The 24,812-nt window shown below is 37.5% G+C and overlaps 1 protein-coding gene across 14 annotated transcripts in view; it reads right to left on the bottom strand.

The window, feature by feature from the left end:
* The window catches only part of ADGRV1 (adhesion G protein-coupled receptor V1), a 605,641-nt gene that overhangs the window by 329,777 nt on the left and 251,052 nt on the right, over window positions 1-24,812 (bottom strand). For 11 of the 14 annotated variants that reach the window (NR_003149.2, XM_017009963.3, XM_017009969.3 and 8 more), the window contains 4 exons: window positions 23,323-24,428; window positions 18,925-19,042; window positions 11,065-11,236; window positions 5,475-5,717 (listed from right to left, as the gene is read on the bottom strand). Coding sequence is in view for 13 of the 14 variants with exons in the window: in XM_017009963.3 (XP_016865452.1) it covers window positions 5,475-5,717; window positions 11,065-11,236; window positions 18,925-19,042; window positions 23,323-24,428 (1,639 nt within the window). In the remaining variant the exon portion in view is untranslated. Of the gene's footprint in view, window positions 1-5,474; window positions 5,718-11,064; window positions 11,237-18,924; window positions 19,043-23,322; window positions 24,429-24,812 lie in introns of those variants that run through there. The other 3 variants (XM_017009968.3, XM_017009971.3, XM_017009970.3) reach the window with 3 other exon arrangements.

Here is a 24,812-nt window from a genome sequence, read left to right as displayed (position 1 = left end):
AGGTTACAGAATACCAAGCAGATTTAACCCAAAGAAGGCTACCTCAAGGCATTTAATAATCAAACTCCCAAAGGTTAAGGATTTAAAAAAAAAAAAGAATCCTAAAAGCAGCAAGTAAAGTGGAACAAATAACATAGAGTGGAGCTCCCATACATCTGGTAGCAAACTTTTCAGTGGAAACCTTACAGGCCAGGAGAGTGTAGCATGACATGTTTAGTAAGTGCTGAAGAAACTTTTATCCCAGAGTAGTATATCAAGCGAAAATATCCTTCAAACATGAAGGAGAAAGACTTTCCCAGACAAACAAAGCTGAGAGATTTTATCAACACCAGTCCTATCCTACAAGAAATGCTAACGGAAGTTCTTCAACCTAAAAGAAAAAGATATTAATAAGCAATAAGAAATCATCTGAATGTACAAAACTCATGGTTAATAGCAAGGACACAGAAAATTACAGAATACTATAACACTGTAATTTTGGTGTGTAACCTACTCATTTCTTGTGTAGAAAGACTAAACACTGAACGGATAAAAAATAATAACTACAACAACTTTTCTAGACATAGACAGTATATAATAAGATATAAATAGAAACAACAAAAAGTTAAAAAGTGGGGTACAAAGTTTAGGTGTCAAATTTTTATTCGTTTCCTCTTTGCTTGTTTGTTAGTTCACTTGTATGTTTATGCAATCTGTAATAAGATGACATCATTTTAAAATAATGACAATTATTTTAAATGGCAATTATTTTAATGACAATCAGACAAGAGAATGATATAAAGTCCATCCAAATTGGAAAGGAAGAAGTCAAATTATCCTTGTTTGCAGATGATATGATCTTGTATTTGGAAAAAACTAGACTTCAACAACAAAAAATGACAATTGATAAACAAATTTAGTAAAGTTGCAGTATTTAAAATCAACATACAAAAATCAGTAGCATTTCTATATGCCGACAGTGAACCATATGGAAAATTAAAAAAATCCCATTTACAATAGCCACAAGTAAAATAAAATACCTGAGAATTAACTTAGCCAAACAAGTGAAAGATCTCTGCAATGAAAACTGTAAAACTGGCTAGGCATGGTGGCTCATGCCTGTAATCCCAGCACTTTGGATAGCTGAAGTTGGTGGATTGCTTGAGCCCAGGAGTTTGAGACCAGCCTGAGTATCATGGTAAAATCCCATTTCTGCAAAAACTACAAAAATTAGCCAGGTGTGGTGGTGTGCACTTGTAGTCACGGCTACTTGAGAGGCTGAGGTGGGAGCATTGCTTGAGCCTAGGAGGTCAAGGCTGTAGTAAGCCATGATCACACCACAGCACTCCAGCCTGGGCAAAAGATCAAGACCCTATCTCAAAAAACCAAAACAAATCTATGAAAAACATTGATGCAAGAAATTGAAGAAGGCACAAAAATGCAGATATTTAATGTTCATGGATTGGAAGAATCAGTATTGTTAACATGTTCATACTACCCAAAGCAATCTACAGATTCAACACAATCCTTATCAAAATGCCAATGACATTCTTCACAGAAATAGGAAAAATAATCTTAAATGGAACTACAAAAGACTCAGAATAGCCAAAGCTATCCTGAGCAAAAAGAAAAAAACTGGAGGAATCACATTACCTGATTTCAAATTATACTAGAGAGTGACAGTAACCAAAACAGCATGGTACTGGCATAAAAACAGACATATAGACCAATGGAACAGAATGGAATAGAACCCAGAAACAAATCCGTACTTCTACAGTGAACTCATTTTCCACAAAGGTGACAAGAACGTACATTGGAAAAAGGGCAGTCTCTTCAATAAATGGTTCCGGGAAATCTGGGTATCCATATGCAGAGGAATGAAACTAGATCCCTATCTCTCACCATACACAGAAAGTCAAATCAAAACAAAAATGGATTAAAGACTTAAATTTAAGATCTCAAACTAAGAAACTACTACAAGAAAATGTTGGAGGAAACTCTCTAGGACATTGGACTGGCAGATTTTTTTGAGTAATACCCCACAACCAAAGTAAAAATGGACAAATGGAATCATATCAAATTAAAAAGTTTCTGCACAACCAAAGAAACAATCAACAAAGTGAAGAGACAGCCCACAGAATGGGAGAAAATATCTGCAAACTACCCATCTGACAAGGGATTAATAACTAGAATATATAAGGAGCTCAAAGAACTCTATGAGTAAAAATGTAATAATCCAATTTTAAAATGGGCAAAAGATCTGAATAGACATTTCTCTAAAGAAGACATACAAATGGTAAATAGGGATAAGAAAAGGTGCTCAACATCACTAATCATGAAAGAAATGCAAATCAAAACTACAATGAAATATAATCTCACCTCAATTAAATGGCTTTTATGCAAAAGAAAGGCAATAATGAATGCTAGTGAGAAGGTGGAGAAAATGGAACCCTCATACACTGTTGGTAGGAATGTAAATTAGTACAACCACTATGGAGAAGTTTGGAGATTCCTCAGAAAACTAAAAATAAAGCTACCATATAATCCAGTAATTCCACTCCCAGGTATATACCCAAAAGAAAGGAAATCCTAGGGATATACCCAAAAGAAAAGAAAGTGTATCAAAGAGATACCTGCACTCTCATGTTTGTTGCAACACTATTCACCACAGTCAAGATTTGGAACCAACCAAAGTGTCCATCAACAGGTGAATGGATATTGAAAATGTGCTACATATACACAATGCAGTACTATTAAGCCATTAAAAAGAATGAGATCCTGTAATTTGCAACAACATGGATGGAACTGGAGGTTATTATGTTAAGTGAAATAGGCCACGCAGAGAAACACAAACATTAAATGTTCTCACTTATTTGTGGGAACTACAAATTGAAACAATTGAACTCATGAAGATAGGGAGTAGAATGATGGTTACCAAAGGTTGAGAAGGTGGTGGCGGTGGGGCAGAGGGGGTTGAGGGAAGTTAGAATGGTTAATGAGTACAAAAAATAGTCAGAATGAATACAATCTAGTATTTGATAGCACAACAGCACGACTATAGTCAACAATAATTTATTGTACATTTAAAAATAACTAAAAAAGTATAATTGAATTATCTGTAACAAAAAGGAAGGATAAATGCTTGAGGTGGTGGATACCCCATTTATCCTGATGTGATTATTATGCATTGTATGCCTGTATCAAAATATCTCATGTATCCCATTAATATATACATCTACTATGTACCTACAAAAATTAAAAAATAAAAATACTGGTATTAATGCACTGCCACAAACATTCTCTACTAAGCCTATAATCGCAGGGTAGGATGTTTATTGGTCAGGGTCAGAATAGGGTGTGTGTGTGCGTGTACTTATGTTTTTGTGTGTGTGTGTGTGTGTATATATATGTATATATACGTATGTGTGTGTGTGTATATATATATAGAGAGAGAGAGAGAGAGATTTATTATAAGGTAAGAAATTAGCTCATGCAGTTATGGAGGCTGAGAAGTCTCAAGATCATCTGCAGGATGATTTCACAGGCTGAAGACCAAAGGAGGTCAATGGTTTAGTTCCAGTTCAAGCCTTATGGCCTGAGAACTAGGAGAACCAATGGTGTAGTTCCCGTGCAAAAGCCAGCAGGCTTAAGACCCAGGAATAGCCAATGTTCCATTTTGAGTCCAGAGACCGGAAAAAGCCATTATTCCAAGTCAAAGCCTATCAGACAGGAAAAATTCTCTCTTACTTAAAGGAGGGCCAGGCTTTTTGGTCTATTCAGGACTTTGACTGATTGAATGAGGCTCACCCACATTATGAAGGCAATCTGCTTTACTCAGTCTACTGATTTACACGCCAATCTCATTCCAAAAAATAACCCTCACAGAAACACTTAGAATAATGTTTGACCAGATATATGGGTACTCTGTGGTCCAGTCAAGTTGACATATAAAATTAACCATTTCAGTAGGGAAAACTGGAAATTCCTAAAAATATATTGTTCCATAAATAAGTGCCCTTTATGAGTTATACACTACTGACAGCATGCATTTTGCAAAGAATCACTTATGAAGAATCTAGAAAACATATAAATAAATATGATAGAGTTGCTGGCCTTCAGATTCTTCTTTTGGCAACTTCAATTCCCCTCTCATCTGACTGAGCACATAAACTCGCTTAAGATGTGCCTCAAATCTCTTTTATCATCTGGTTTTTCATTTCCAGTCCCCCTTCTTCCATTCTCCAAAGTAGTAAGTTATAACGATATACATTTTATGGGAGAAGAGGAAGAATGAAACAGACTTCTATAATTTATCTTCTATCTTAAATACTCCAATAAAAATACTCAAGTCTTCCTACTGTAAATCAACATACTTCACTTTGTGCTATTTAGAATAGACTTTATTTCTAGGGTCTCATATAATAGGGAGTTTTCTTTTTGTTTGCTGCACTGTGGACTCTGTCGTAAAGATAAGTTTTACTGCCTGGCAAACTTTCAGAACGGCTTAATATCCACAGCTTGAGGCCTATTCTCTCATCTTGACTCATGTAACTGCTACAACATACTGGCCACACATATGTTCTGTTTTATGCACAGAATGTCCTGTTTGAGCCACCCAATGGTGACACAACCAGGCAGGTACTAAAGGGAACTTTTAATGAAACTGTGAAATCTTAAGGCCCAAGGATTCATCTGGTTTGGAATCTTGAAACATTGGAAATAGAAGAGCTGTCCAGAATGGCAGTTTTCAAATAGTGGGTTTCCTGAAGTTATATAAAGTAAGGGGAACAAAGAGAGGACTAAGGTGGGTCAGCTATGATCCTAACAATCATACTTCAAGCAGAGTAGGGACAGATTTTTGCTTTACTATATTAGAGTTTCACTGCTAAAACAAAAGCAAAAAAATAAGGCTGAAAGGTATATGGTATTGTTGGGGCCAAGCCCACGGTCTGGTGACTTAGTGTTATGCAGCATTGATCTTCTGAGTCCCCAGATAGCCTCCCTGTCTTTTATCTGATGTCACCTAAGAGGATGGATGTGAAAAAAGTGGCAGTGAGGCTTTGTGAACACATGGATTTGAAGAAGTGTAAAGATCAGCTAGTGTTGGAGGTTCTGAAAAAGAAAATTTTCAACTGTTTTGGAAACAAAACATAACAAGATCCTCACTTTCTGCTTCTGGCCTTCAACAGTTACATTCTGAAGAAATTTTAACTCCCTAGAGATTTTATAAAACAGATTTATGTAAGATAGTTTGCACTGTATAATCAATCTTGTCAAAAGAGAGAAAAAAGAAGTCTGTCGTTTTAAAACATGATCTGTTACTGATGAGTGAAAAGCTGAGCTGTTTCAAGGATAAAGCTTAATGTAATGAATAAAAAGTGAATTACGATGTTATCCTCAGAAAATAATGTATCAATTATTCCCTATGTCATTACTCTTGCTGTAGTTAAAGAAGAAAACCATAACGTGTATGAATATATATATTCCATGCTTACCTGGGTACTAAAGTTAACAGACATCATTAGTCCTGTCCCAGAATCTCTGGCCACCTGCAGACTGATTAAAGTGGCCTTCTTGTGAGCCACTGCCAGCCGAGAACCCACAGAAAAATACACAAGGCTTTGAGATTCATCACTTTCTAAGATTTTAATCTGTGCGAATCTGGCACTGTTGTTTATTGCTGCTCCAGCAGTAGCTTCATATAGTTCCACAAAAAAATACACTTCAACCTGTGGTACCTGACAATGAGAAAAAGGAAAAAAAAACAACTATTACTAATATATTTCTATCTGTAGATAGTTCTGATATTTAAATATTGTATAATTCATATACATTTTTAGAGAAATAAATATATAAATCTAGAGATATATTCTGTATAATTACGGAATTAAATTCTTAGATTATCATGACATTTATTTTTGGTCTTTCTTTAAAAATACATTTACTTTCTCTGGGCGAGCTTCTTACTAGAAAATCAATGTCAGGAAACAACCTATGTTTACTACGATCAGCAAAAAAATAAATTAAATGTATTCATACCACAAAACACTATAAAGTAGTTAAAAGGAATAAACTAATTCAATGTTTTTTAACACAGATGCATCTCAAAATATGACAGTAAGTGAAAATATCAAGCTGTATAATGATATGTATAGAATGATACCATAAAAGTAAAGTTAAAACTACATAAAGCTTACTATATTTTATTAATAGATACATATTTATGTAAAGTTTTCTTTTTTAACTACCACACCCTGACAGCAGTTGCCTTGGGTGGAGGGTTTGGGTGGGGACAGGGCAGGGAGTGGAGTTGGAGAATATTACTGAGGAGGGGGAAAAAAATGGATCTTCAATTTTGTAAGGTTCTATTTTTATTTCTTTTATTTTTAAAGTGTTTTAAATAAATATAATCAAATATTTATAATAGTCAATTCTGAAGTTTTATGTATTTTTCAAAATTTTCCAAAATTCAGTATATAGTCTAAATATAGTCTGCTGGTTACAGTTTGCTCATGTTTCACCTTGGTTCCTTCTCAACAGTCTCAAATAATTTATTTTCTAAAGCCTGAATTCAATTTTATAACATATTGGCAATCACCTGTTTTTACTAATGATTCACTCTTAACAAAATCATCCACAAATCTTAGCAATATTGTTACCCATCTGGCATAACTCAAAGGAGCTAAGCTGATGCCTTTACAACTGCAGTGACATTGTCTAATTTGATATAATGTATCATTTTTACCTACCAGCAATGACCATTATGTTTTGTGACCATTTTAATGATAACTATTACATCATGAAATGATACAACCAACCCTTCAGAATTATCCAAGTGTTTATAAGTAAGTTATATCTTAGTTATAGCATAAATCAACTTAATCTCCTTTTGTTTTCTGAAGAAATACTTAGTTTTTTCTGTGGCACATATCATTCTTTACTGTTGCTGATTAACTGTCAGTTGATATTGAAATATGGAAATAATTGTACTGTGTCCACTTTTGAGAAACTACATTTGGCAAATACAATAAACTAAAGCACTATCAAAGTATAGTAACTATATTCAAGACCTAGTATGGCCAAGCGAGCTTGAATTCAAAGTAGTTTCTTTTAACTAAGGATTTCGGTATATTACATTCCAACAGACTTTTATTTTCTAGAAAAATATTCCTTTTTCATTGTGACGATGATTAGAACATACTTATAGCCACCTACAAACAAAATAATATGTTATAATCTAAGTTAAGAATCATCTGAAATTGAACAGTGTAAAGATGGGTGCCTACATATCATTAGACTAGTAACATAAAGAGTCTTCAAGTCTTAGAAATAAACACTCTATTGAAACAATATTTCTGAAGTCTAATGAGAAATCAAGACTTGCAGATCATATGTGAACCTCCCTAGACTCCTAAAAATGACAGAGACCTCATAAGAGCCCATTCCATGTGTAATTCCCAGCAGGTTCTTTTCCTGGTTAGGTCAGAAGCATCCCAGGATGATCTTTTGCCCTAACTAGTATAAGATGATTTTTCCAGGGACCAGAACTATTCAGCAATAGAAAAACCAAAGTAACAATGAAACAATACCTTACTTAAATATTTTTGAAAATATTTGCAACAAATATTTAAACACTGGATTCAAACAGATTTTGTGGTTAAGAGCATGCTTCCTAAGTTGTTACCTTTTACATTTTACTAATATAGAATCATAAGATAAATAATCAGGAAAAGGGGAAATGGACTGGAATTCAAGAGATGAGTTCTAATCTTGGCCCAGTAATTGAATTGGGCGAGTTACTTAAATTCTTCATAATTCAAAAGTGAAAGTATTGAAAAACTGTAGAGATGATAATCTGAGATAGGACAGAGTCAAAAAACTTTGAGTGCCAATAGACTGGATTGAGGTGAGGGACACTGCCATTAATGAGTGGTGTAATTCTGTGGATGCATTTGTTGTGTCTGCAATATCTGTAACTCTTCTACCACTTGTGTTGATGTAGTTATTACTCAAGTCATTGCATTCCCTCGGGCTCCATCTCCATCCATTCTGAATAATCTCAATACTCACCATCTCTTATGAAGGGCCAACTCTGCCGAGAGCTGTGCTAAGAACTTCTCATTCATTATTTTCTTTATCTGCCTCACAGCCCTGTTATTAACCCCGTTAAACCTGGGAGGCTCAGGAAGGCTAAGCAACCTGTCCAATGTCACCCAGCTAATTGGTAGAAGAGTTAATATTTGAACTAAAGTCTTCCATTATCAGAACCCTAACTCTTAAACTGACTCCAGTGACTCCAAGAATAAGTTCAGTGTAACTGATGTCTTTCCTTTGACAAAAAATGAAGAAGATGGTGCTTAGGTCAAAAATCTAGCAATAATTGGGTGGCTCTACTAGGACCTCCAAATAATTTCTCAAAGCCCACTACAGAAGAATATTGTCACAGAACATGTATTGTGTATATCATTAGGTCTCAGTTTATCTGACATAATAATAATTTGAACTGGATGAGTAATAAATTCCCTTCTACTAATAACATGTAAAATGTTAAAATGTATATCAAAAGTTCATAGTACTTTTTGAAAAACACTTTTTCATTTTCATGAGAAAATAATCATCTTCCATCTTCTCTCTTTTTAAATTTCCTCTTAATGAAACTAGAATATATATTAACCTTGCTTGTTCCTTGCCTTTTAACAGGTGAAAAGATAATGAGGGAAAAAATGTCTTGAAAATTAGCTGCTTCTCAGAATGCAGAAGAAAACTCTACGATTTGAATATCATATGTGAAAGAGAAAGAAGAGGTGTGACTAATTTTTTTCTCTTACCTAACTGAAACTTTTGATAATGGGCTCAGTAGCATTTCTCTAGTTAGGAAAACAAATATATACAGTTAGCATCCCATGTATTGCATACAACATTTTCTTACCCCTTAATTATATATTCTTCTGCAAGGAGGGCAAGCTCAGAGGAAGTAGTCTACCCTAACCCCACCTATACTTTAACTTTCCTATTTCTCTTTATTCAGCTTGCCCAAGCCCACTCCTAATGGCTCTTCTCCTCTCTCTTCTTAGAATTACAAGTTTAACATCTACTGTACGAGACAGATGTTTAAAGCCTAGTGAGATCGTATCAGTATTCTAATTCACCAAAAATCCTATTTGAGATAAAATGCACAATATAATATTTAGTAATCATGTATGCAAAACATATTTATGAAGAATGCAAAACCATATTCTAATTTTTGAACAGCTAACAGTCTTATAGTCTATATAAACTATGCATAAGTTGTAACACTGCATATAACTGATAATTTCCATAGGAAAGGAACAGATAATGTTTTATAAATTTAGAGAATCAACGACTCCAACTAGAGGTTTCATGGGAGGCATCATGGAGAAAGTGGTATTTTGATTAACGGAAAGCTATAGTTAAGAAATATGGGGGCTAGGCATGCTGACTCATGCCTGTAATCCCAGCACATTGGGAGGCCAAGGTGGGCGGATCGCTTGAGGCTATAAGTTCCAGACTAGCCAGGCCAACAGGGTGAAACCCCGTCTCTACTAAAAATACAAAAATTAGTTGGGCATGGTGGTGTGCACCTATAATCCCAGCTACTCAGGAGGCTGAGGCATGAGAATCGCTTGAACTCAGGAGGTGGAAGTTGCAGTGAGCCGAGATCACAGCACTGCACTGCAGCCTGGACAACAGAGTGAGACTCCACCTCAAAAAAGAAAAAAAAAAGAAATATGGGGTTGAGAGGGTTGATGGAAGCATAAAAATATTTGGAAGAAATGCATGAAGAAGAGTTTAAATTCAAGTAGAATACAGTAAGTCTTCACTTAACCATGACAGGTTCTTGGAAACAGCAACTTTAAATGAAAGGACATACTGTGTGCAGTAGGAAGTCAACTGTTTAACTGATATAAACATCAATTAGTCTATGGTAAAATTGGTTTCATTATACAGCACATTGTTTCACGTAAAGTTGCAGTTTCCAAGAGCCTATTGAGGACGTGAAGTGAGGACATACTATATGATCAAATGTCTTGAGTATTGAAATTTCAGTTCCTCATTGTCAGTGTGACAGAAAGTTTTAGTAGCTGATGATAACTCCACTCAAGAAAAGCAAAAAACAATGATGTGATATGCTAAACTACGAAAAAGAGTGGGGATTCCAGGCTTTAAGGAAAATATATTTTCCAGCACTACCACCACCAAGGTGGCCACAACAGCAACACATTTGCCTGCATCAACTTTCCTATATAGCTGTAGTACATACATATAGATCTCTAAAATCCTTTCTGATCAAAGAAATCAAGTCCTTTGACACTAGTTAATTGGCTGTCTTACATCAGGGAAAAAATCAAGACAGCTCTAGAATATTTGTTATTGCTATAAAGCAAGTATGCTTCCAGATATTTTAAAAGTAATATTGAAAAGACAAAAGACCAGCTTAATAAGACTACCAGTGGCCATGCCATGACTATTTGAATACCAAAAAGAAAATCACTTAGTAAGTAATAAAAATTATTTGAATTTGAATTTATAGTGATACTGAAAGAAATGTTATTGTAATATAAAAAAGAGATACCATGCAAGATAAATGTGATTCTAACAGCATATACTTAATATTTTATTAATTTTAATGTGTAGAAGAGTTAGCATATCGACATGTCTTTTATTAAGCATGTGTTCATTTATTAAGCAATGATAAACATTTTTTTCTTTGTATGTAAGTAGGAAGGGGCTAACAAAAAGAATTGTGAATAAGACATTTATTTCTAGAAAAGGAAAGAATTGTACCAAGAATACAAATAAAAGAAGTTAAACCTACATGGTTGTTATTTTAGAATGGCAAGAAACAAAAAAATAGAAAAATGACAAGTTTATTTACAAAATACCATAATGTAATCAAGTCTGTCTAAAGCCTGTTGTCGGCAAAGAGATTTAGACATTATGGCTAAGAAAAACACAAAGAATCTCCCTATCAACAATGTGTAAGTTTCAATAGTGGTTTTAAAATGATTAATTCTAAAGAAATATAATTAGAAGTTGACACTAGTGTGTCTCTTCATTTCTTACCTTTTCTGGTTTGAGTTCAATGCTGATAAAGCATTTTGTTTGACCCATTGTACAGGTTGTGGTCCCTGACACAGACTGAAGTTCCTCCACCAGGTTTACCCCATCCTTCTGGAGCACGACGACTGTTTTGTTAAGTGTGACTCGCCAAAAGACCTTGACATCTTCAAAGGCCCTGTGAGCAAGAAACCCACCAATGCCTTAACAGAGGGTGTCATCCCCATGTCTAATAGAGTTTATTATCAAATAATGGTACCTCTTCATCCAAAGTATACCAAATGGTACCTCTTCATCCAAAGTATAGCACTTACTTTACCACTGATGATGCAGAAAATGACCAATTTTCCTCACTACAGATAAGAGGATTAAGCCTCAGGGCTTATGTGGTTTTCTTTGAATACACTCCATTCAACAATGAATAAGTATCCTAATACTCTGTATAAGGAATGTAAAAACAAATAATATTTTTCGAGAAGGAAATAAAGGGCATCCAATTAGGAAAAGAGGAAGTCAAATTGTCCCTGTTTGCAGATGACATGATTGTATATTTAGAAAACCCCATCATCTCAGCCCAGAATCTCCTTAAGCTGATAAGCAACTTCAGCAAAGTCTCAGGATACAAAATCAATGTACAGAAATCACAAGCACCCTTATACACCAATAACAGACAAACAGAGAGCCAAATCATGAGTGAACTCCCATTCACAATTGCTTCAAAGAGAATAAAATACCTAGGAATCCAACTTACAAGGGATGTGAAGGACCTCTTCAAGGAGAACTATAAACCACTGCTCAATGAAATAAAAGAGGATACAAACAAGTGGAAGAACATTCCATGCTTATGGGTAGGAAGAATCAATATCATGAAAATGGCCATACTGCTTAAGGTAATTTATAGATTCAATGCCAACCCCATCAAGCTACCAATGACTTTCTTCACAGAATTGGAAAAAACTACTTTAAAGTTCATATGGAACCAAAAAAGAGCCCGCATCGCCGAGTCAGTCCTAAGCCAAAAGAACAAAGCTGGAGGCATCACGCTACCTGACCTCAAACTATACTACAAGGCTACAGTAACCAAAACAGCATGGTACTGGTACCAAAACAGAGATACAGATCAATGGAACAGAACAGAGCCCTCAGAAATAACGCCACATGAAGGAGGAGCCAAGATGGCCGAATAGGAACAGCTCCGGTCTACAGCTCCCAGCGTGAGCAACGCAGAAGACGGGTGATTTCTGCATTTCCATCTGAGGTACCAGGTTCATCTCACTAGGGAGTGCCAGACAGTGGGCGCAGGTCAGTGGGTGTGTGCACCGTGCGCGAGCCGAACCAGGGCGAGGCATTGCCTCACTTGGGAAGCGCAAGGGGTCAGGGAGTTTCCTTTCCGAGTCAAAGAAAGGGGTGACGGACGCACCTGGAAAATCGGGTCACTCCCACCCAAATATTGCGCTTTTCGGACCGGCTTAAAAAACGGCACACCACGAGATTATATCCCGCACCTGGCTCGGAGGGTCCTACGCCCACAGAGTCTCGCTGATTACTAGCACAGCAGTCTGAGATCAACCTGCAAGGCGGCAGCGAGGCTGGGGGAGGGGCGCCCGCCATTGCCCAGGCTTGCTTATTTAAACAAAGCAGCCAGGAAGCTCAAACTGGGTGGAGCCCACCACAGCTCAAGGAGGCCTGCCTGCCTCTGTAGGCTCCACCTCTGGGGGCAGGGCACAGACAAACAAAAAGACAGCAGTAACCTCTGCAGACTTAAATGTCCCTGTCTGACAGCTTTGAAGAGAGCAGTGGTTCTCCCAGCACGCAGCTGGAGATCTGAGAACGGGCAGACTGCCTCCTCAAGTGGGTGCCTGACCCCTGACCCCGAAGCAGCCTAACTGGGAGGCACCCCCCAGCAGGGGCACACTGACACCTCACACGGCAGGCTATTCCAACAGACCTGCAGCTGAGGGTCCTGTCTGTTAGAAGGAAAACTAACAAACAGAAAGGACATCCACACCAAAAACCCATCTGTACATCATCATCATCAAAGACCAAAAGTAGATAAAACCACAAAGATGGGGAAAAAACAGAACAGAAAAACTGGAAACTCTAAAACGCAGAGCGCCTCTCCTCCTCCAAAGGAACGCAGTTCCTCACCAGCAACGGAACAAAGCTGGATGGAGAATGACTTTCACGAGCTGAGAGAAGAAGGCTTCAGACGATCAAATTACTCTGAGCTACGGGAGGACATTCAAACCAAAGGCAAAGAAGTTGAAAACTTTGAAAAAAATTTAGAAGAATGTACAACTAGAATAACCAATACAGAGAAGTGCTTAAAGGAGCTGATGGAGCTGAAAACCAAGGCTCGAGAACTACGTGAAGAATGCAGAAGCCTCAGGAGCCGATGCGATCAACTGGAAGAAAGGGTATCAGCAATGGAAGATGAAATGAATGAAATGAAGCGAGAAGGGAAGTTTAGAGAAAAAAGAATAGAAAGAAATGAGCAAAGCCTCCAAGAAATATGCGACTATGTGAAAAGACCAAATCTACGTCTGATTGGTGTACCTGAAAGTGATGGGGAGAATGGAACCAAGGTGGAAAACACTCTGCAGGATATTATCCAGGAGAACTTCCCCAATCTAGCAAGGCAGGCCAACATTCAGATTCAGGAAATGCAGAGAACGCCACAAAGATACTCCTCGAGAAGAGCAACTCCAAGACACATAACTGTCAGATTCACCAAAGTTGAAATGAAGGAAAAAATGTTAAGGGCAGCCAGAGAGAAAGGTCGGGTTACCCTCATAGGGAAGCCCATCAGACTAACAGCGGATCTCTCGGCAGAAACCCTACAAGCCAGAAGAGAGTGGGGGCCAATATTCAACATTCTTAAAGAAAAGAATTTTCAACCCAGAATTTCATATCCAGCCAAACTAAGCTTCATAAGTGAAGGAGAAATAAAATACTTTACAGACAAGCAAATGCTGAGAGATTTTGTCACCACCAGGCCTGCCCTAAAAGAGCTCCTGAAGCAAGCACTAAACATGGAAAGGAACAACCGGTACCAGCCGCTGCAAAATCATGCCAAAATGTAAAGACCATCGAGACTAAGAAGAAACTGCATCAACTAATGAGCAAAATCACCCCTAACATCATAATGACAGGATCAAATTCACACATAACAATATTAACTTTAAATGTAAATGGACTAAATGCTCCAATTAAAAGACACAGACTGGCAAATTGGATAAAGAGTCAAGACCCATCAGTGTGCTGTATTCAGGAAACCCATCTCACGTGCAGAGACACACATAGGCTCAAAATAAAAGGATGGAGGAAGATCTACCAAGCAAATGGAAAACAAAAAAAGGCAGGGGTTGCAATCCTAGTCTCTGATAAAACAGACTTTAAACCAACAAAGATCAAAAGAGACAAAGAAGGCCATTACATAATGGTAAAGGGATCAATTCAACAAGAAGAGCTAACTATCCTAAATATATATGCACCCAACACAGGAGCACCCAGATTCAAAAAGCAAGTCCTGAGTGACCTACAAAGAGACTTAGACTCCCACACATTAATAATGGGAGACTTTAACACCCCACTGTCAACATTAGACAGATCAACGAGACAGAAAGTCAACAAGGATACCCAGGAATTGAACTCAGCTCTGCACCAAGCAGACCTAACAGACATCTACAGAACTCTCCACCCCAAATCAACAGAATATACATTTTTTTCAGCACCACACCACACCTATTCCAAAAATGACCACGTACTTGGAAGTAAAGCTCTCCTCAGCAAATGTAAAAGAACAGAGATTATAACAAACTATCTCTCAGACCACAGTGCAATCAAACTGGAACTCAGGATTAAGAATCTCACTCAAAACCGCTCAACTACATGGAAACTGAACAACCTGCTCCTGAATGACTACTGGATACATAACGAAATGAAGGCAGAAATAAAGATGTTCTTTGAAACCAACGAGAACAAAGACACAACATACCAGAATCTCTGGGACACATTCAAAGCAGTGTGTAGAGGGAAATTTATAGCACTAAATGCCCACAAGAGAAAGCAGGAAAGATCCAAAATTGACACCCTAACATCACAATTAAAAGAACTAGAAAAGCAAGAGCAAACACATTCAAAAGCGAGCAGAAGGCAAGAAATAACTAAAATCAGAGCAGAACTGAAGGAAATAGAGACACAAAAAACTCTTCAAAAAATTAATGAATCCAGGAGCTGGTTTTTTGAAAGGATCAACAAAATAGATAGACCGCTAGCAAGACTAATAAAGAAAAAAAGAGAGAAGAATCAAATAGACGGAATAAAAAATGATAAAGGGGATATCACCACCAATCCCACAGAAATACAAACTACCATCAGAGAATACTACAAACACCTCTACGCAAATAAACTAGAATATCTAGAAGAAATGGATAAATTCCTTGACACATACACTCTCCCAAGACTAAACCACAAAGAAGTTGAATCTCTGAATAGACCAATAACAGGAGCTGAAATTGTAGCAATAATCAATAGTTTACCAACCAAAAAGAGTCCAGGACCAGATGGATTCACAGCCGATTTCTACCAGAGGTACAAGGAGGAACTGGTACCATTCCTTCTGAAACTATTCCAATCAACAGAAAAAGAGGGAATCCTCCCTAACTCATTTTATGAGGCCAGCATCATTCTGATACCAAAGCCGGGCAGAGACACAACCAAAAAAGAGAATTTTAGACCAATATCCTTGATGAACATTGATGCAAAAATCCTCAATAAAATACTGGCAAAACGAATCCAGCAGCACATCAAAAAGCTTATCCACCATGATTAAGTGGGCTTCATCCCTGGGATGCAAGGCTGGTTCAATATACGCAAATCAATAAATGTAATCCAGCATATAAACAGAGCCAAAGACAAAAACCACATGATTATCTCAATAGATGCAGAAAAAGCCTTTGACAAAATTCAACAACCCTTCATGCTAAAAATTCTCAATAAATTAGGTATTGATGGGATGTATTTCAAAATAATAAGAGCTATCTATGACAAACCCACAGCCAATATCATACTGAATGGGCAAAAACTGGAAGCATTCCCTTTGAAAACTGGCACAAGACAGGGATGCCCTCTCTCACCACTCCTATTCAACATAATGTTGGAAGTTCTGGCCAGGGCAATTAGGCAGGAGAAGGAAATAAAGGGTATTCAATTAGGAAAAGAGGAAGTCAAATTGTCCCTGTTTGCAGATGACATGATTGTATATCTAGAAAACCCCATTGTCTCAGCCCAAAATCTCCTTAAGCTGGTAAGCAACTTCAGCAAAGTCTCAGGATACAAAATCAATGTACAAAAATCACAAGCATTCTTACACACCAACAACAGACAAACAGAGAGCCAAATCATGAGTGAACTCCCATTCACAATTGCTTCAAAGAGAATAAAATACCTAGGAATCCAACTTACAAGGGATGTGAAGGACCTCTTCAAGGAGAACTACAAACCACTGCTCAAGGAAATAAAAGAGGATACAAACAAATGGAAGAACATTCCATGCTCATGGGTAGGAAGAATCAATATCGTGAAAATGGCCATAGTGCCCAAGGTAATTTACAGATTCAATGCCATCCCCATCAAGCTACCAATGACTTTCTTCACAGAATTGGAAAAAACTACTTTAAAGTTTGTATGGAACCAAAAAAGAGCCTGCATCGCCAAGGCAATCCTAAGCCAAAAGAACAAAGCTGGAGGCATCACACTACCTGATTTCAAACTATACTACAAGGCTACAGTAACCAAAACAGCATGGTACTGGTACCAAAACAGAGATATAGATTAATGGAACAGAACAGAGCCCTCAGAAGTAACGCCGCATATCTACAACTATCTGATCTTTGACAAACCTGAGAAAAACAAGCAATGGGGAAAGGATTCCCTATTTAACAAATGGTGCTGGGAAAACTGGCTAGCCATATGTAGAAAGCTGAAACTGGATCCCTTCCTTACACCTTACACAAAAATCAATTCAAGATGGATTAAAGACTTAAACATTAGACCTAAAACCATAAAAACCCTAGAAGAAAACCTAGGCATTACCATTCAGGACACAGGCATGGGCAAGGACTTCATGTCCAAAACACCAAAAGCAATGGCAACAAAAGCCAAAATTGACAAATGGGATCTAATTAAACTAAAGAGCTTCTGCACAGCAAAAGAAACTACCATCAGAGTGAACAGGCAACCTACAAAATGGGAGACAATTTTCGCAACCTACTCATCTGACAAAGGGCTAATATCCAGAATCTACAATGAACTCAAACAAATTTACAAGAAAAAAAACAAACAACCCCATCAAAAAGTGGGTGAAGGACATGAACAGACACTTCTCAAAAGAAGACATTTATGCAGCCAAAAAACACATGAAAAAATGCTCATCATCACTGGCCATCAGAGAAATGCAAATCAAAACCACAATGAGATACCATCTCACACCAGTTAGAACGGCAATCATTAATAAGTCAGGAAACAACAGGTGCTGGAAAGGGTGTGGAGAAATAGGAACACTTTTACACTGTTGGTGGGACTGTAAACTAGTTCAACCATTGTGGAAGTCAGTGTGGCAATTCCTCAGGGATCTAGAACTAGAAATACCATTTGACCCAGCCATCCCATTACTGGGTATATACCCAAAGGACTATAGATCATGCTGCTATAAAGACACATGCACACGTATGTTTATTGCGGCACTATTCACAATAGCAAAGACTTGGAACCAACCCAAATGTCCAACAATGATAGACTGGATTAAGAAAATGTGGCACATATACACCATGGAATACTATGCAGCCATAAAAAATGATGAGTTCATGTCCTTTGTAGGGACATGGATGAAGCTGGAAACCATCATTCTCAGCAAACTATCGCAAGGACAAAAAACCAAACACCACATGTTCTCATTCATAGGTGGGAACTGAACAATGAGAACACATGGACACAGGAAGGGGAACATCACCCACTGGGGACTGTTGTGGGGTGGGGGGAGGGGGGAAGGATAGCATTAGGAGATATACCTAATGCTAAATGATGAGTTAATGGGTGCAGCACACCAACATGGCACATGTGTACATACGTAACAAACCTGCACATTATGCACATGTACCCTAAAACTTAAAGTATAATAATAATAAAATTTAAAAAATCTTAAATTATAATAATAATAAAATTTAAAAAAAAACAGAAAATTAAAAAAATATATTTTTCTATTATGTCCAAAAAATGTGAAAATGAGAATTATAGGGAGGTCCTAAAGGCAAGTAAATGTTCCTCATTTCTCTTTTAAAAAGGATTTTTCTAAAGAAACAACACTTCCACTCATAATGGTTGCTATTGTAAAATAGGGCAAAGGGAGACCAACATTCTCACAGATTATTTAGGCCCAAAATGGAAAATGTAATATATACACATGTGCATGTGTGCATACCAAGCACGTGTATGTGATGAGCATCTAAAGATGCTACTATACAGTTTTAAGTTGCAAACAAAGTTTTGGTACTCCAAGTTTTCATCACAGGAAAATGGTATGTATGTAGAGTGAGCAGATAATAGGCAATATGATGAAGTGATGACCTACATAGTCTGATATTTGTATGGTACTTCATGAAGTAGAAAACACTCAAGGTAACCCTAAGTTATGATCATAAACGAAGTACCATAATCACAAATTAAGAACTAGAGCATCTGAAGACGTGCCAAATTCGACACTACCTCCTTCTATCTTACCCTGCCCTCCACCATTGTATGAATTGAAATTACATTTGTACAGACACACAGAATGTTACGTCTTCCATATACTATATATACACATACCTGTTTGGCTGTCTTGTGACAATAAGGTGCAATCTTCTCATAACAGCTCCTTCCCTGAGTTCTAGTCCACTCTGGGACTCCTCACTGAATCCTATGATGCCATTGTGAAGGTCACTCCCTGAAAAAAAGAATGGAGGGCTATAATATATTCAAGAATTATTTAAAAGACCTCCCATGCTCCACTAATCTTGCCAGCTCAGATGGTTTAAAAGTGAGAAATTCACAGGTGGTGAGGAGAGCTACAGTTGTTAAAAGATCTTTATTAAAAATAAACTAAACTGTGATAACATCAAGGTGTCTAACTGGGAATAGAAGAAAAGAAGAAATAAAACATCAAATCCCACTCTTTCCCCCTGACACACACATATTCATTTTTCTATTAAGATCCTACTTTACATTTGACAGTCCTTGAAATTTTAGATATTTATCTGTTTTAAGGCTATATATCCCTCACAGAATGTAAGCCCTACTAGAGCATCAACTTTTATTCGCTACTGTATCCCCAGCTCCGAGAACAGAACTGAGCATATAGTAAGTGTTGAATAAATACTTGTCAAATAAATGAACTCTGTTCAACGGATTTACCTTCACATAAGACGTTTGATTAAAAGACCCTCTATGCTATCCATGAAGCTATTTGCCCCAGAACAAAACAGAAATATTAAGGAACTCCTGAGCATCTCGGTATCAGAAACTTTCCTAAGCAACACTTGAGGTTACGGGTACCATTATACTAAAAAAAAAAATGTTTAAACTGGAACAAAACTAGGGTTCATACTATACAGAAATCATCACTTCAAACCCTAGGCAGCAACTAAGCCAGCTTCTCAGACTAGAGAAATACCACTGCATAGTTCTGACTGCTTTCTATTCTCCATGGCCCTGTTTTGCATTGGTCCTAGAAGCAATGATCCTAAAGCAATTGGCCTCGAAAACCATGTGTATTAGTTCATTTTTATGCTGCTATAAAGATGCTACCTGAGATTAGGTAATTTATAAACAAAAGAGGTTTAATTGATTCACAGTTTTGCATGTCTGGGGAGGCCTCAGCAAACTTACAATCACGGTGGAAGGGGAAGCAAAGCACGTCATATATGGTGGCAGGAGAGAGACAGCAAAGGAAGTGCTACTTTTAAACCATCAGATCTCACGAGAACTCACTCACTATCACAAGAACAGCATGGGGGAAACTGCCCCCATGATCCAATAATCTCCCACCAGATCCCACCCTTGACACATGGGGATTTGGGGGATTACAACTGGAGATGAAAATTGAGTGGGGACACAGAGCCAAACCATATTATCATGTGTACCCATCACCCTGAAACCTGATTCCTGGCATTCTAAGGAGACAGAACTTCTGAAATTAGGGAGTAGGTTGGGTTAAGGAAACAGAAAACCACTGAACTGTCCTGATAGGGAAGAACTAGTAGTCATCAGCCCCTGGACCATTTCCCTGGTCTTAAAGTAAATGTGGAGCCCCTTTATTAGGGACATGCAAGTGATGGGCTACATTTGTCCTAGGGTCTCATGTGTGTTTTGTTTCAGACTGCCAATTCTCATCCTCACCAATTAATCACTGCAATCACTTCGTAGCCTGGTATCAGAATCTGACATTGACTTTTTATCTTTGGCAGCAATTCTTTTCTTGTCACCTTAAGTGAGGATTTGGGCTCTTCAAGTAGATTACAAGACTATCACAGCAGAACCCTCATTTCCTTTTCCAAGGCAATAGCAACTAGCATGATTCTAATGAAAAAACACTTCCCTTGTCACATTTACAATAATAAATTTGATTTCAAATTTCTAGTAAAATGATTCCAGACTTGTAATGTGCCAATGATCAAAATCAAAACTAAATAAACTATTTTTTCCCTGACTTACTCAGAAAGTTTGTTCTAAAATCTAAATGTGAAAAGATTATAAAGGTAGGTGGATGCAGCAAAATTAATTATCCGGTTAAGTGAGAAATATTATTAAGAAAAAAATGTCAGGTAGGGAAAAGATGAGGGCAACATTTGCAGGTAAAGGAACTTAAGGTATTATGACCACGTGAATGTGCCTGGTGGTGTAGTCAGGCCAATTACATCATACGACATTAGTGGTAGCTATGGTAGGGTATCGGTCATTTGCAACAGGTGTGTGATGAGTGTGCCTTATGTAGGGAAGGTAAACATTACAGAATCTCACAGAGCTCAGCTGAGTTACCATTTGCCTGTTGAGTTAAAACTAAGCTCAGAGCTGATGAAGGGGTAGGCACTGGTAGGCTATATTGTCTGATAAAACAGGGAAGCACTTCCATTCCAGTTGGTACCTAACTTCTATCCTGAGCCCCTAAAGAGTCCTCTGCCACTTCCCTAACCAGGACAACAAGACCTCCCCATGATCCAGTAATTAATGGAGTATGGCTTGGAACAGCAAAGAACCTCCAGAAGCCATTTTAATGGGCCTGGCCAGTGCCAAACTAATTGTTAAGTATTTTTACTATCAGCCCTGGTTATATTCAAATACCTGTAATAAAATATCTGTGTCTCTATTAGAATGAGAAGGAGGATGCTGACTGCCAAATAAATTTTTTTTTTTTTTTTTTTTTTTTTTTTTTTTGAGACGGAGTCTTACTCTGTCGCCCAGGCTGGAGTGTAGTGGCGTGATCTGGGCTCACTGCAAGCTCCGTCTCCCAGGTTCACGCCATTCTCCTGCCTCAGCCTCCCGAGTAGCTGGGACGACAGGTGCCTGCCACCATGCCTGGCAAATTTTTTGTATTTTTTTAGTAGAGATGGGGTTTCACCGTGTTAGTCAGGATGGTCTCGATCTCCTGACCTCGTGATCCGCCCGACTCGGCCTCCCAAAGTGCTGGGATTACAGGTGTGAGCCACCGTGCCCAGCTACCAAATTAATTTTAATAGAAATATATAAATGGCATTAAGCCAATTTGAATCAAAATCAGTAAATAACTTGTAGAATAGAATAAGAATTTACAACACACTTCATAAACTGTAGAAACAGGAATAAATCATACTAATTGATGTAAATTTGTAGGTTAACATAAATGAGATAATGCTGAGCATATGAAAGGAAGTTAAAAGATTGCAAAATTATGACTGAATTAAAACTGAGTGGCTAAAATAAAATACGAACTCTAGGAAGCATCAAATCTCAAAAATATGTTTTGAGGTCTATTGCACAGAATGGTGAATATGGTTAATATAGAGTACTGTACATTTCCAAGTTTCTAAGATAGTAAATTTGAAATATTCTCACTATAAAAAAAGTTAAGTACTTGAGGTAATGTACATGTTAACTAGCTTGATTAAATTATTCTACACTGCATTTATAATCATAACATCATTCCTTGTACCCTCTAAATATGTACAATTATAAGTTGTCACTTTACAATAAAACATGAAAATGAAAAAAGAAAAGAATCATGAGATAGCCTGTCACTTCTCTAATTCCTATAAGGTATTGACATGCTGATGTATTTCATTTAAAGAAATACAGTATGATTTCAGGCCGGGTGCAGTGGCTCACGCCTGTAATCCCAGCACTTTGGGAGGCTGAGGCAGGTGGATCACGAGGTCAGGAGTTCAAGACCAGCTGGCCAACATGATGAAACCCTGTCTCTACTAAAAATAAAAAAAATTAGCCGGGCGTGGTGGCAGGTGCCTGTAATCCCAGCTACTCGGGAAGCTGAGTCAGAGAACTGCTTGAACCCGGGAGGCAGAGGTTGCAGTGAGCTGTGATCATGCCACTGCACTACAGCCTGGGCAACAGAGCAAGACTCCATCTCCAAAAAAAAAAAAAAAAATACAGTATGATTTCAGAGGTAAACTGCAAACTGTCATGAAAAGATTGCATAAGATACATGAGAAACAAAAAAATTATTAAAATTTTAAGCTATTGTAACGTATATACACAATAGTATGATGGCTATATCAACTACATTGGGTCAAAAGCAAAACAAAAGGCAACAGTTTAAATCTTTTTGGTAACAGAAAAAAAAAAAAAAGAATTTCCTGCCAATGAGATCTTTGACTTTAGGATGGATTACTGAAAGTAGCTGGTAAATTTAGAATCAAGTTTCAAAACAGGATAGGCAATCATGTGTTTGGATGATTAAATTAAACGTTATTTATATTGTGAGAGTATAGATTTATAGATTGTATTACTGGCTCTGATCTCAGTGACATTTATAGTACATTAAATTATAGGGCCCTCAGAACAGCACATCATGAGTTCATGTCATGGGTCCATGCTACAGAAAAACAACACTTTAATGCATTCCTATGAATAACTTAAGAACTTCACCTTCTTCCATTAAATTTAAGCTAGATTCACCTTAATACAAATTATGTACCATAAAAGTATATTTTTATCTCCATCATTTCAAAGATATACCTGTAATAATAACCATGGCAAAAGCTGCAAATCCAGTATCATCCTTCTCCTCCACAATCTGTGCTCCCCCTTGAGGGTTTGTGAGAAACACGTAGAAGAATTCCTGCCCCTCAGGCTCATCATCATCCAAAATTTGAACTGATACTTTACGTTCTCTTTCTCCATCTAGGAATATAAGGGTAAGAGTTTGTTCTTCAAAGTCTTCTTCTTCAACTGCCCATGTTAGGTTGGAAATCCCATAGATACCACGAAAGGGCAATGCATTTGGTTCCATCTGAGCACATCTTTCACCGAAAGTTTTAACTGTTATGCTGACATTGCCAGTAAACCCACCAGTTCTTCGGATAAGAACTTCTGCAGTGTTGAATGTGCCATTCTTCATCTCCTCTTCAATATAAACAATGGATGGCCCAAGGCTGAATGTTCCATGAATGGAAACATTGGCAGTTACAGTGGCCACATCAGGCTTTTCAGACACAGCAGGTGTGCCATGAAGGGTGACAAGTTTCTCAGGGATGGCAGATACACCAGTTGCCTCAGTAACAATGGCAACCACGTTGGTTGGCTGCAGAATGGTAGTCGTCTTGCTTGTGCTGAGGTATGTGGTGGATTCAGTTTCTACAGGAATGAGAGTTGTGTCAACTGCTACAGCCACAGTTGTCTCGGGGAAGGAAATATCCATTCCTGCCAGGTCATCATTATCCAATATTGTAATCACTGCAACACTGAAATCTAGATTCAGGCGTGGGCTCCAATTAACATCAAACTTTTGTAATCCCCTAATTTCTACTGAAGTAAGGTTAATGTAAAAAAATTCTTCTATCTCAGAAAGCTGATCATTAATAATGGTTATTTCAAAATCAACCTCAGTTTGGAATTTTTGAAAAAACAGTTCCCCATTCTGAACAGGCTCAAAATCTTCCAGTGGCTTGGCGCTTCCTGCAGTGGTCTGATAAGAAACTTTAATAAGATCGCTGTGGAACCCAAATAGTCTTTGTACATGTAATCTGATCATCTGTGTATCTTCTGACACTATGATATTTCTTGAGCTAGTGGAAAATTGGAAGACGCCCATTGGTTCAATTTCAGCAACAATGAAACCTGATCTGGGAAAAAAATTAAATCATGAAGAAATTGATTTTTTAAAAAATAGGAATATGACTGTAGAGATTCATCATTCACATATTTAAAATGCTGCTCATGAGGGCAGCAACTTAACAATGACGTGCCATTTCAAATTCCATCAAACCCTATTTATTGATATGTAAGGGCAAAAGAAATGTAAGAACAGGAGCTGCAAAAGCAGGGACAGGAACTAACAAGTCTGAGCTAAATGAAAAGCTTATAGGTCTCTGGTCTATTTCTCCATCATCCCAGAGCAGCTGTCTGAGGGATGTGAAAATCAGGCTCTCTCTTAGGATCAGTACAAGGGGAACAATATTACTACAATGTTCTGGACCTCTGCCAGCTTTGTTATCTACCAAATAGAA

This window comes from Homo sapiens, chromosome 5 (genome assembly GCF_000001405.40).
Source record: "Homo sapiens chromosome 5, GRCh38.p14 Primary Assembly".
In the NCBI taxonomy this organism is placed as follows: domain Eukaryota; kingdom Metazoa; phylum Chordata; class Mammalia; order Primates; family Hominidae; genus Homo; species Homo sapiens.
This window is presented reverse-complemented; position numbering and strand designations above follow the sequence as displayed.